Source organism: Homo sapiens, chromosome 13 (genome assembly GCF_000001405.40).
Source record: "Homo sapiens chromosome 13, GRCh38.p14 Primary Assembly".
Lineage (NCBI taxonomy): Eukaryota > Metazoa > Chordata > Mammalia > Primates > Hominidae > Homo > Homo sapiens.
Window position 1 is genome coordinate 41,596,793 of NC_000013.11, and position 13,404 is coordinate 41,610,196.

Below are 13,404 nucleotides of genomic sequence, written 5' to 3' on the forward strand. Positions count from 1 at the left end.
ACACACACACACACACACACACACACACACACACACACACATCTGTAGCACTAAAGACAGAATAAATAAACTTGACAAAAACCAATCATCTTGTGGTTTGTGACACTTTGTCTTATGATTTCAGCACTGAAATCATTCTGATTAATCTTATATCTTTGCTTATTTGGGTTATGATTAATCAAGACTTTTTTTTTACCTACAAACTCTATAATCAAGCCAATTTTATATTAGTCCTTCAGAATTTGTTTAATGAAGAGAATAAAAAGACTTAAGTAGCAATTGTTATAGAGAGTTTATACATTCTACAGAATAAAGCCTACAGGATCATCAAGAAATATTTGTTGGGTGAATGAATAACTGTAAATGATGTTAGAGGGTACCTGTGAACAGCGATTCTCTTATTAAACATTAGCTCCCATTATTTTAACATCTCTTCATGCTCAACCAACATATATTTTTATGCTACAAATGTGTATGACTCAAACAAATAATTATTGGATTAAGGAAAACTTTCATATTGAATTTATAAGATAAACTATTAATCAGTGGAAACACAAAATTTTATTTTGTGGTTCTCAACATATTGGTACAGCCATTAAAAATATTTTACTAAATATCTGCTTAGGTTCCTAGGTGCTCTCAATAGTGAAAGAAAAGAGGAGATATGTACCTTATTCTAAGGGATTCATGTTTCTTGAAGTAATATCTCATTGCAAAGGAAAACGGTGAATCATCTATGGTGATTCTCATTAGAAGAGTTTATATTCTTGGATGGTGATGTGGAACTAAATCATTATGTTGAGTAACACTATACTATCTATAGTCACTTTTTATGAACTAAAATTATTTCAGGTCTTTCCTTCAAGAATTAAATATTTTGTAATTAAAAGGAGCTGGGAACATCTCGGTGTGCAAACATAACAGGCATCTTATACTTCACAAGTTTAAAACTCAACCCTGGATTCCACCCTAGAAAACCTGTTCTCTCTAAGTCCTCCCCCATCTCAGTGAAGGGCAAGAGGCAACCCCACTCTTCCAGTTGTTCAGGCCCCACACTGAGGAGTCATCTTTGACTCCCTTACATCCACACCCAATCCAAGGGCAAATCCTCTCAACTCCCAGCAGTATTTGACCATCTCTTACCATCTCCATGCCTAGCCTTAGTCCTGTCCTCATTTTCTCTCCCCTAGAGCACTGCAGCAGCCTCCTAAATGGTCTCCTTCCTTCAGTTTTAAACAGTTTTCCAAAGAGGTTTTTCCTGTACAGTTCCTTCTTCACATAGCAATCAGAGGAATTTTTATAAAATATATTGTCATTTGTAAGAACTATATTAGAAAGAACGAGCACGGTTAACTTTAAGTCTTTAAAAAGCATGATTGAACTTATATTTCCCTTATGATTTTCAGGAATGAGGCTATTTGCCTCTCCCATATGTAACATAAATTGTTACACTTTTACTTTCTTCTATTCCTTCTCTATACCAATTTAACTAACCAAAAACCAACAGAATCAAAAATCTTGATTTTTGTTTAATTTTAAAACTAATATGAGAATTTAGGCCCTGTTTATTAAATTCATAATTTTTAATATTGTATACCTTTAAAAAGAATGATTCTTGATATTTGAGTTTTTAAAAAATATATTTACCACAATTATTTAGACCTGATTTTGTGTTGAACTGCTTCTAATGCTCATTGCTGGTCCTTTTATATCACAAGGTTCCCATTCTTAAGGAATTTTGATTCCTCTCTTAATTGACTAGAGTATTTATACAAATATATATATTTATTTCAAAGTTATCTTTTAAAAGGGTGCTTAAGAGACATTTTAAGCCTCTGAATATCTGCAAATATCTGTCACCTTTGTACTTTGGCTGTGCACAGAATTCTTGGGTCACAAGAATTGTCTCTTCAAAATCCTGCAGACCTTGTTCCACTATCCTGTGGCATTCAAGGTTTCAGGGACAACTAATGTAAAATTAATTTTTCTTTCTCTGACAATAGCTTGTTTTTCAACTGCTTCTCTGCTTTTAGGATTTTTTTTTTTTTAATTTTTGAAATGTTAAAATTCCATGAAGCTGTGTTGAGTGCTTCTCTCTTTGTTAATTTTGCATGGTACTTAGTAAAGTCCTTTTGATCCATAGACTTAGGCCTTTCTTCAGCTGGGTACGGTTTTGTTACTACTTTGGTTATTGTTTATGAATATTTTTCAGTGGCCTCCTCTACAGGGATATGATTTGTTCATTCAGCATATGTTTACTAAGCACTTACCATGTTTCATGTACTGTTCTATTTGTTGGGACGACTCAGGGCTCTGTATGTCAGCTCTCTACTTTGTTTTTACTAATTAGCTTTCTTATGGTTTTTACCCCTTTATTTCCTCTGGAATAACTTCAACTTTTTTGTTCACATTACTACTTAGACTTAAGACTGGATGGAGTCTGTTCTTTCTACTTTTCATGTAGATTTGAGTTTTGGTAGTGCAGTTTTAGTTTTCTTATCTTTCCTTATTGCATTCAATTCCCTTATTATTTCTGCTTGCTTCTTAGCCAGATACTTTTCAATTTATGTCTTATTTCACATACTTCAAATTTCTTTGAATTGTGAGAACACAAAGCAGATGTTTTCTAAAAATTTTGTTTTCTGAAGAATATTCTATCCCAGCAGCATCTTCTATATCTTAAATGCTTGTTATTCCACCTCAGTACACAACCTTTTCATATATCCCATGTTATTTTATGTTTTCTGTGTCCTTATTCTCGAATGATGAGATACAAAACTGTTGAGGAACAGATTGGACAGATGCTCCTTGGTTGCATTCACTTTCCACTTAGTTTCTACTAGAATTCTTCTTGAGAGGTTTTAAACTGGTTGAACTAAATCTACAATGCCAGCAGGGAAGGAATTGAAACTGCGGACAGTCCCAGCATGAGAACTTCATCACCACATCATTTCTTATTTTGTTTGGAAAAGCCATTGCAATGGGGCCAACTTTGGGCATTTGGCTCCTTTGTGATTTAGTCTTCAAGCCAAGTATAAGTTGGGGCTGGTCTGGCCTTTTTCCAGGGCTATTCCCCTTTCAGCTTCCTGCTTGTAGCCACTGCATGAAACCTAGACCTCCCCCACAACCATGCCTCCCTAGCGCTGCTGCTTTCAAACGCTTTTGCATGGCAGTAACAAAATGGAGGTCAAGTGATCTGCTTCTCACCAGTTCTAGGGCTCTTTCTTCTTTTCCTGCCTTTCTAATCAAGGGATGTTAGTGACATTCTGTTAGCTCTCATGCAGTTACTCATGAATAATGCTATTTCTCAGGAAGGTTTTCAAGTTGTCTTTGAGAGGCGTCCCAACAAAGTATATTTAGCAAAAATTCTTCAAAGCTGTTTGCGTGTCACTAGCGCTCTTCATTAATTTCTCCTGACGTGGGGTTTTCAATATGTAAAGGTTTTGACTACTTAAATAATTTTAATGGTCACCTGGCAAAGACTGAGTTAGAGATGCCCATAGTCATGCAGCCCAGAAGTCAGGACTATATTTCTAGGCTGCACCTGGATGAAGTTGTCCTCTCTTGGACACTGACACCATGTCTTGAGTGATGAGCCATTCATGATGTGCTAAGAAAGAGTAACTGGCACTTTGCTGCTCTCCTGTGACATGTAGACGTTCCTTGACTCGGCTGTTCTCACCCTTCCCCTCTCTTTGCTCTGCACTCTTGCCTTAGTTGACACATCTTCCTTTGGCTTGGGCTGTCCCTCTATTCAGATGACCACAAAAATACATATACAGATAGCCATATAAACATGAAACCCTATCTAGTCCTCACCTTGCTCCTGAACTCCAAATTCAGGTTTTGAAAACTTTAAACATCGTGCTTGATATTTTTACATAGGTGTCCCAATAGTGAGAAAACATACTATAACATCCAAAGCAAACATCTGCTTTCTTCACAAGTCTGTCCTCTTCCTGTGTCTCTTTCTGTCCTCCAGGGCTTGAAAACCTCCCATTTCCCTTCCCTCGCATTCAGTGTCACTTGTCTTTTTGTCCTACCTCCAAATTGCTTCTTGAATTTGTCTCATTCTTTCCATTTTCATTTCAATTACGCTGGCTCAGGTGCCTATCACTTCTCACCCGAATAACTGATACTGTTTCATGATTTAATCTCCTGGCTTCCACCTCTCTTGTCTCTGAAACTTTCTCCTCCATGGCTACAAAACTTCCTAAAGAAGATAGAACCAGCTCTCAGCTCATGCCTGAGACCACACAGTGTCATGCATCTGTCTGTGCTGTGCCCTCTTCTGGGGCGTTGTTTCCACCCTTCTCTGTCTGGTTAATACTTGTGTGTCCCTCAAGACTCAGCTCATGTACCCTTACCTTCAAAATCTATCCTTGAATCCTTTTCTTCTGAGCTCCACCACATTCTAAGCTTCCCTCTACCTAGGTACTTACCATATTAAATGGAATGAGATCTTTAGGTGTCTGCCTTCTCTGCCCCTCAAGCCCAGAATTTTCTTAGTACAGGGACACTATCTTATCAATCTCTGTGCCCTCAGTGCCAAACACAGTGTGTGCTACACAATCAGTGTTCAAAGCACTATTTATCTGAACAAAAGCTTATTTTGAAACACCACAGGGGAAAAAAGGAACATAATTGTTTGTTCATGGAGATACCATGCTAGCCAAAGCAATCAGAGAAAGGTTAATTTAGTTTAGCCTGAGAATGAAATTATGATTATAGATCAGAAAAACATTGGAGAGAAGATATGATTAAAATCAAGTGGTTTTTTGTAAGAATGGATGTTTTCTTTTGTTAGAGCATGCATGGTGCAATAAGAGATTGAGATTCTGAACCAAGTATAATTGAAGTATTTATGGACTGATGAGAAGATTCATGCAATCGATTCACAAAAGGGAAAAGGTTCAATAACTCAAAGAAGCCAAGGAAAGTCACCGGTGATAGCTATCTTAATCGAGAGGAAAGACATGTACTGCAACATAGGCACATGTTAAAGCAGACATTAACATGGGTGGCAACAGCATTTCCTGCTCCTCAAATCCCACCTGGAATCAATGAGTGGGCCTGAGGCTGTGCTTTGGAAAGTCATCTCAAGTGATGATTTGCTAGTTCCTGGCCAAACTTTGTGCCGTTCACCAAGGAAACACCCATGGTTACTTGGATTACATAGCAACCTCAAAACAGCTGGAAGATATTAGTCAACTGGAGCCACACAGGACTGGCAGAAGATGGCAAAATGGGACCAAATCAAAGGTTCCTTGCTTTGTTTTCAATCTAAAGTTCCATATTCTACACAAGGCCGTGTCCATGCTTGGTGAGTAGCTAGGTTTTAAACTAGCCCTATCTTCCTAAATGGAGGACTAGAAGGCCCACCTGAGAATAACTCCCCTATGGATTAAAAATAGATTCAATAAGGAAAACACTTGAAAAATGCTGTGTTGGCATTTGGATAATGATGCAAAATGTTTTATGAGTATATGTAAGCATATGCTTTTTATGGAATTGTTGAGTTGGAAAAAGAGAAAAGAGACCCTAACAAACAATAATGAACTGAGCTTTGGGCCGCACCTGCCTCGCTAGCCATACAGCCCAGGACAGGTTACACCATCTTTCTAATCTTCTGGTCTCTCATTTATAAAGCGGGGGCAAAAGATGGCAAAAATGGAACCAATATTTCACAGGATTATGAGAATTGACACAATGTATGTTTCCTCATCTATCAAATGTAGAAAATTATACATACTGGTTTCTGTAGAGGTTAAATAGCACAATGAATGTAAAGTACCTGACTGGGTACCTGGCCTGTAATCCAGGCTGATAAATCTTAGCAAGTACAATGAAGGTAACAATGAAGTGAATCCTTCTATAGAGAATGCTGCATGCTAGGCATTGTTTAAGCATATCATCTGAGTTCTTCACTAACATACTGGTATCTGTCATTCCCATTTTACAGAACCCAGGCTGTCTGGCTGCAGAGAATGACAATAATGATGGAGGTGATCTTGGTGACAATGACGATGTAAAGCACCTAGTAGAATGCCTGGTGCATGGTAAATTCTCAGTAAATGCTTGCTATTATTATAATGCTGGTATTGTTTGTAAAGATTTCTAAAGACGGAAGTTCTACATCTATTTTAGCTACTTATTCAAGGATTAAATTGCTTTTATCTTCTTTCCTATATCTTAAAACTCTTTCTTGGTATTAGTTAAGCCTATTTTCTCTTTTTAGATCTCCACAGAGGAAGATAATAAAAACTCCCCTGAAATAATTACTCTCATTGAGGATATTTAGTAAGTTATTGACTCCAACCCCCTTAAGGATTTTTAAAAAATGGGTGCTACTTTGTTTTCCATGCATTTAATCTTACTTGTTGCTTTTACCTGAGACCTTCAGAGTTTTCATTCATTCCTCTTTGAAAGCTGAAAGCAAAACTGGACACTGTTTTCCGATACTGGTCTCACTGTTGTGGTGATTAGTGGAAGAGCCATTCCTTGATGCTAACTCTAATTCTAACCAAGGCTTCATTTGTGTGTGATTGTGAGAAGTCAGAGCAGTGGACCTGACTTTTCATCTTTTGGCTGATTGTATAAACATGATACCATTTATCTAAAGCACTGATCTGAGGATTAAATGTGATAGTGCTTGTAAAAGCAACTATAGCATAGTCCTCAACAAATACCAATTAAGACATCAACTAATACCAGATGAGGAATCTGATACCTTCAATTAAAAATGTATTCTTATATCCCTTTGTAGCACTGTGAATCCTCTAAGGGTCTCTTTCTGCCCACAGGGTAGGACTCAATGTTGTCTACCTGTTCTTGTGGCATCCAGGGCTATTCAGGATCTGGTGCCTACGACTCTGGCAGCCTCTTCTCTTGCCACTGTCTCCCACCAGGGTGTGCTTTTCTCAGCCATACCAAATACTCTGTCCTTCTCTGAACTCACTGTGCTCTCCTATACCTCTGTGCACTTGTGCATACTGCTTCCTCTGTTGGACATGCCCTGACTCCTTAAGCACATGGGAAATTCCTTAGCATCTTTCAAGAGTAAATTCAAACATTACATTCTCCATGAAGCCTTTCCTCATTTCGTCTCATAGCATTGTGTGCAAAATTCTCTACAGAACTCAGGAAATTTAGTTGACTTTGAGTCCCTTCTTTGAAGGCAGAAGATGTATCTTAGTTTTCTATCTCTAATGCCTGGTGTGCATCGAGAACTTAAGAAGTGAGTGAATCACTGAACCATACTCATTCTCAAGTCTTAGGATAGGCACCATCTCCCATTACTCTCACCTCCTCTGAATCATCCATTTTGGCCCTTAGCCAACTATTGCCTTACCCTGAAGCTCAGAGCCAACCTGGCAGTGTCCTGGTGCTCTCAATGTCCAGGGAAAGGAACACTTGTCAAATGAGTGACTATGTAAGAAGATCCAATCATTCAATATCATGTTGTTCACATATAGTTTATATAAAATCTTATGCTGTTTTATCCTAAATAACTGCATATAGATTTTTTTTAAAGTACATGGTTTAATTTTTACATTTCTTGGATTTTGAAATTAGACATCTGTTTAATTATTATAAAGATCTTTCCTCCTGGAAATGACAGAACTTTTATTAATCTCTGGATACGGATTAGATCTTTTGAAAAAATAAGGCTTTTCCAGAGTTTTGGGTTAAAATGGTGGATTAAAAACGGCATCACAGAAGTTCTAATCCCCAATACTTAGCAAAAATAATAAAACTTCCCCCAGAAGGACAATTACAAATAAGAACCAAAAAGGGAAAGGCAATCACCTTGAAATACTTCATGGAAAAGAAACACAAGATTCCAGAGTAGAATGGAGAAACAGGGCACAGCTTGGCTCCCAACCTTCTTCCTTTGTCCTGAAATGAGGCTTTGCTTTCTCTTTAGACAAAAAATCTGATTTTGTTTCTGATTTTAAGGAACACTCAGCCCCTCCTAAATTATTTGTGCAAACTGACCACAGAGCACAATTTCTAATTTGAAATCTCCAAACAATAGTCATGCTTAGGAAATACTGAAGTGTCTTAATATTTTCAGGAGGAGTAGCAGTACCAACTTGTTCCTCAGCATTGAGAGCTTTGTGAAACTGCAAAAGGGCAGGCAATGTGAAAGCAAGGGGAGGGCAGAAAGAGGAGGAGACAGGGGACATACAGAATACATACACTGGATGATCAAAAAGAAAGCCATGGGATAGTCCAGTTTTATGCAGACATTTTCACACTGAGACATTTTTTCGGACTGGCTAATTAGGGTTCAGATAATTTTCTCCAAGACTTTAGGAATGTGTCCAGGTTTGGGCCCAGGTTATTTTCTTGGTCCATAAGTAGAAGATTACCTGTAAATTATCCAGGATGATTCGGAGGGAGTGCACCTGTCGCCGAACAGCACCTGAAAACCTTTCATAGGTTGCAGCATCGTATTCACTCATTTGGATCTCCTTTAGCCTGAAATCAGAAGAGTATAAAAAGTTAACAGCTTAAATCACGTATATGTGGGTTTTTACTTCCATTCGCCTCCTGCTGGAACTTTAGCAAACTCCTTGGAAACTCAGATTCATGTTGAGGAGAAAAGGCAAGAAGTGATGTCTCCAGCTGTGCTTCCAGATTCAAAGGAGGTAACATCCAGTAGTGTGCTAGTAAATGGTTAACAAACTAGGACAAGAAAAAAGTCCTAGATTTGTAGTGTTTGCTGATTTCCATGATGTAAACATTGCCACCATGATCAGTTACAAGCTATGAACAGTGAGTTGGAAAAAAATGTGCACAATTGACTCTCATGAGCCAGTATGAATTGGCTTTGTGGTACACACCATTGCTATATCCCAAAGCCATATTGTGATGTTTGCAGCCGATCAGTTCATGTGGCAGATTCCTAAGAGGGTTCCCATGGGTTGCTTTTTAAGATCGAGATCATGTATTTGGTTGACCAAGATAACAGTTCAAGCCTAAAGAATGTAAGTTAATGTGCTGCTATGTATCCCTATGTGAGAGTTTTCTAAAATTGCTGACAGTGTAATTTAAACAGGACAATTGTATTTTAATATTATTGTGGCTTTGAAATTCTATCTTCCCAGTATGCTGCTCCTTTTTATCAGTTTTTATCATTTGCTTCACTGAAGCCCCACCAGCACACTAGAAGCTCCCCGTACACATCACATGCCCTGCAAGTGCTTCTCTCCCACTTGGAGTGTCCCTCCCCTGACTTTGCCTAATAACTCCCACTTACTCTTCAAGACTCAAGTCAATGATTGCCTCCTCCAGGAAGTCTGCTCTGATCCCCGGGTCTTTCTTCTGTGCTCTTATCTCACTTCATTCCTCCCTCAGAGAATTTGCTCTCCATGCTGTAACTATCTGCCTCCTGTCTCCCCAACTAGGCTCTATACTCCTTTAGGTAAGGGCTGAGTCTTTCTCATCTTTATCTTTACAGTGCCTAGCATGGAACCTAACATATAATGGGTGCTCAAAATAAGTAGAAATGAATGACTGAAATAAAAATACAACTCAGCATTACTTAAAATGCAGCATCTTAAACCGTCAGTAGAAAGTTCAGAGTGAACTCCCTTGGGTTTTACAGTGTTGTATCCATAATACATTAACTTAATAATACATTTCTATAAATTACTATAAATATAAAAGGTACTGATATTAGGACAAGGAATAATAAGTGCATATCTCAAAAGCCCAAGCATAGCATAATCTTCTAAACTAGTGTGTTATGTATATGCATGCAATGTTGGAGATATGAATCCTAGGTGTATTGCTGAAACTCTTATCTAATGTGTATTTTTTATCACCTTGAGCTAAAACAGAAACCTCAAATACTGAATGAGAATAAATGTTCTGTATTCCTCCCTGTCAGGTTGAGCACTGGGAAAAATCCATTCACCATGGGGGAGAGCGCCAGAGGCTTATTACAATTATGTAATGCTAGGCCTAGACTACCATGGGGCAGACTGACATTCCTGCCCTATCACCCCACTGGATAATACCCACTTAGGTTTCAAGATCTAGCTCAAAGTCCACATCCTTTGAAGTCTTGCTTGAGCCCTTGCATAAAGCTGGCCATTCCCTTTTCATGTGCCCTATACAGACATCTACCATGAAACTCGCATACTTTATTGCTTTAATAGATAGGCCTGTTGCCCTCTGTTATGGTGTTTTCAAATTTTTCTTTCCATAGTAGGAAATGTTTTACATTGAGATCTTGTATACACAAATGCATGTATGTATATAGGATAACTGAACCAAAAATTTAATGAAAAATACTTTTATTACATGGGATGTACTCTGATGTTTTCTATTCTATTCCTCAGGGAGAAGGACCATGTTCTATTTTTCCACTGAACTTCCAGTACCTACCACAATACCTGCCTGGCACACAGTGGCACTCAATAAGTGCTGCTGGATGGCACTTTGAAAACAGTGACTATTAAAAGGTAAATACAGACAAGGCCACTATAATATCTGAATGGTTGTATCTTGAGGTGACATGCCAAGGTGCCTTTCTAAATCTAATTAACTCTCAGTCCTGAAGAATAAAAAGAAATATGTGTATAGAACTTGACCTCCTGACAATACCTCTTGTATTTAGTTTCTGGCAGTCTCTGAAATCTCTCTATGACTTTTTATTAGATTAAGTTATGTCTCAAGTATCAAGGCTGACAGAAGCTGGGCACAATGAACAATGCAGGACATGCCACCTACCCCTTCATACCTAAACCGGTGTGTGTTTATATGTCAATATGCTTCTTCTCAAATAAGTGAGATTAGCACTGATTAGAAACAAATGTAGACACAGCTGTCTGTGGGGTGGGGAGGGGATGGAGGAGAGAATATATAGAAATATGTGATTAAATTAGCGCATTATGGATACGACTCTGTAAAACCCAAGAGAGGTCACCCAGCAAATGAACTTTCTACTTACAGTTAGTTTAAGATGCTGCATTTTAAATAATCCTGAGTTGTATTTTTATTTCAGCCATTCAATTCATTTTCAGCATCCATTATATGTTAGGTAATATGCCATATACTTCTATAAATATAAAAGGTACTGATATTAGGACAGGGAATAATGAACATACGTCTCAAAAGCCTAACCACAACACAATCTTCTAAACTACTGTGTGTGTGTGTGTGTGCACGCACACACACATGCAATGTTGGAGGTATGGGTTGTAGGTGTATACACAAATACAAACCTATATACACACATAAAAACACATATGTACATACATACACACAAACATATCAAGGAAGGAGCTAGCCATTTGGTAAGCCACCTCGAGCAGACTGATCTTTGCAGAGTGATCAGAATTAGCTTCAGTTATAGGCCTACCACTGGTGCGATCATGTTGCACCCAAAACACACCACATGCTGTTTTAATTATGAAGAAATCTGGAAACCATATTCCAGATTGTGTCGGTTTTCAGAAAGATCACCTACAAGGCAATCAAAGCTGATAAATTTTGAAAGATGATGACTGAAGCAAGGGATGTAGAAAGAAAAGAAATTTTAGCCTCTGGATCAAATGAGGTACCCATTGCTAATACTCTCAGGCCCACAAAACTAGCTGGAAACATATCTTTCTGCTTCTTTAACCCTGATCAAAACTGCAGGGCACAGCTGCTTCACATCCTAGTAATCTTTGTGGACTAACTGCATTTTGTTGGCACAGTATATTTTTAAAGGTTATATTTATTGTTACGTAAGAGTCTGGGAATTTTAGTTCTCATTTTACTTTTTCTTATAGGTCACACTTAAATACTATAATTTTGAATCAATTATAAGGAAAACAAACATAAGCTTAGATCCACTGTGTGAGGCTGATTAGTTTTGCAAATGGTAGTGGATGCAATCTCCACAGCTGGTGCCTACCCTAGACGCTTTTCTAAGTGTGTACATGTACCTCATTGTCTATTTCATTTGCTTTTCACTGGTATAATGTTTCTGTTCTATTTTATTCATGTTTTATGCTTGTCTCTCTCTGTTAGTCTGCCTGAGTTAATACATTCTTGATATGTAAGGGCTGGTATCTAGCTTAAAACCAGATATAAACAGATGCTATCAAAATGCTGTGTTGATGATGTCAGGAACCCACTTAGCAGCATTAGGCTCTCCAAGGCACTACACAAACTTTCTGGCTCACAGCTAGGACTGCCTAGTTTCAGCCAGTCTCTGAATTAAGTACTAAAGGATGATTCCATTACTTGTATGCACGTGTGTGTCATTCATTCCACAAATACATATGAAGGTTTGCTACATACCAGGTTCTTGGTGTAGGTCCTGGGGTTATACTAGAGCACAAAACAGATGGATGCCTGCCCCCCAGGAACTTACAGTCAGAGGAGAGACAACCAATTATTCACACAAATCACATAACGGGAAAGAGTGATAAGAGTTGTGGAGAAAAGGTACAGGATGCCATAAAAGCATCAATGGTGGGAACCGACCTCATTCTGCATATGCCTAAGTGGCAAAACCGTTTTAAAACCTATTATTTGATGATAGCGAGGAATTATTACTTTTTAAAGACTTAATAATAGTATTGTGAGTTTGTATTTTTTTGTTTTTATATTATGCAGATACACTTGGAAATATTGACAATGAAATGATAGAAGTCTTGGATTAGCTTCAAAACAAGCCAGCAGAGAAGACTAGGAGTAGAGCCAGAGTTTTCCTCTTGAAGTTGGGGGGTCGGGTCCATCGCATTCATTATATGTTCCTCTCAACTTTTATGTTTGAAAAGTTCCTAGTAAAAGGTTGAAAAATTTTCAGCAGCATTAAATGAAATATTCACCAAATGGGATGAAAGTCCCATTTCTACATGAAAGTAGAAAGCAACATCTTTCTCTTGGTGTTTTGCTGTGCCCCATCTTTCTCAGGATCTCCATGTGTTTCTATTTCTTTCTCTCCTTTCTCACACGCTTGGCCAACTCCTCTGTCTTTCAACCACCTTACGGTATTCTCTTTTACTTCAACTGAGACTCTTCTCTGCAGCATTTACTAGAGGTGTACATTTTCCTCATCCCTTCCCCATGTCCTCTCTTTCCTCTCTTACATCCGCTAAATTCATTTGCGTTAAGGGCACAGATGCCCCTTACTTCTTCCCCTGTAGGGCAATTGTCCTGAAGAGAACCACACTCCTTACTCCTATTATGGCAACAGGAGAAGGGCGTACATACTTGTGGCCAGGCACTGTTACCTTTCTGCCTCCCTGTGAACTATGTGTGTGCCAGAACACTCTTATCTACCTGTCCACTTGGGCAAAAAATTAGACTGAACAATTACTTGGCAGGTTTTAAGGGTGGCAACAACAGAACTCATTAATTGCGGAGGGGAGAATGACACATTTCCAATTGTTTAGT

General features: G+C 38.3%; 1 protein-coding gene across 1 annotated transcript in view, besides 1 other annotated feature; it reads right to left on the bottom strand.

The window, feature by feature from the left end:
* VWA8 (von Willebrand factor A domain containing 8) overlaps nucleotides 1–13,404 on the bottom strand; it is a 394,275-nt gene that overhangs the window by 29,958 nt on the left and 350,913 nt on the right. The window contains exon 40 of the mRNA NM_015058.2: nucleotides 8,376–8,484. Coding sequence (NP_055873.1) covers nucleotides 8,376–8,484 — 109 coding nt within the window. The remainder of the gene's footprint in view (nucleotides 1–8,375; nucleotides 8,485–13,404) is intronic.
* Nucleotides 7,141–7,435: a silencer, noted in NCBI's record as "tiled region #5362; HepG2 Repressive non-DNase unmatched - State 9:DNaseU". NCBI's record gives its function as "represses a minimal TATA promoter and a strong SV40 promoter by Sharpr-MPRA in HepG2 cells {active_cell/tissue: HepG2}" and the evidence as "EXISTENCE:reporter gene assay evidence [ECO:0000049][PMID:27701403]".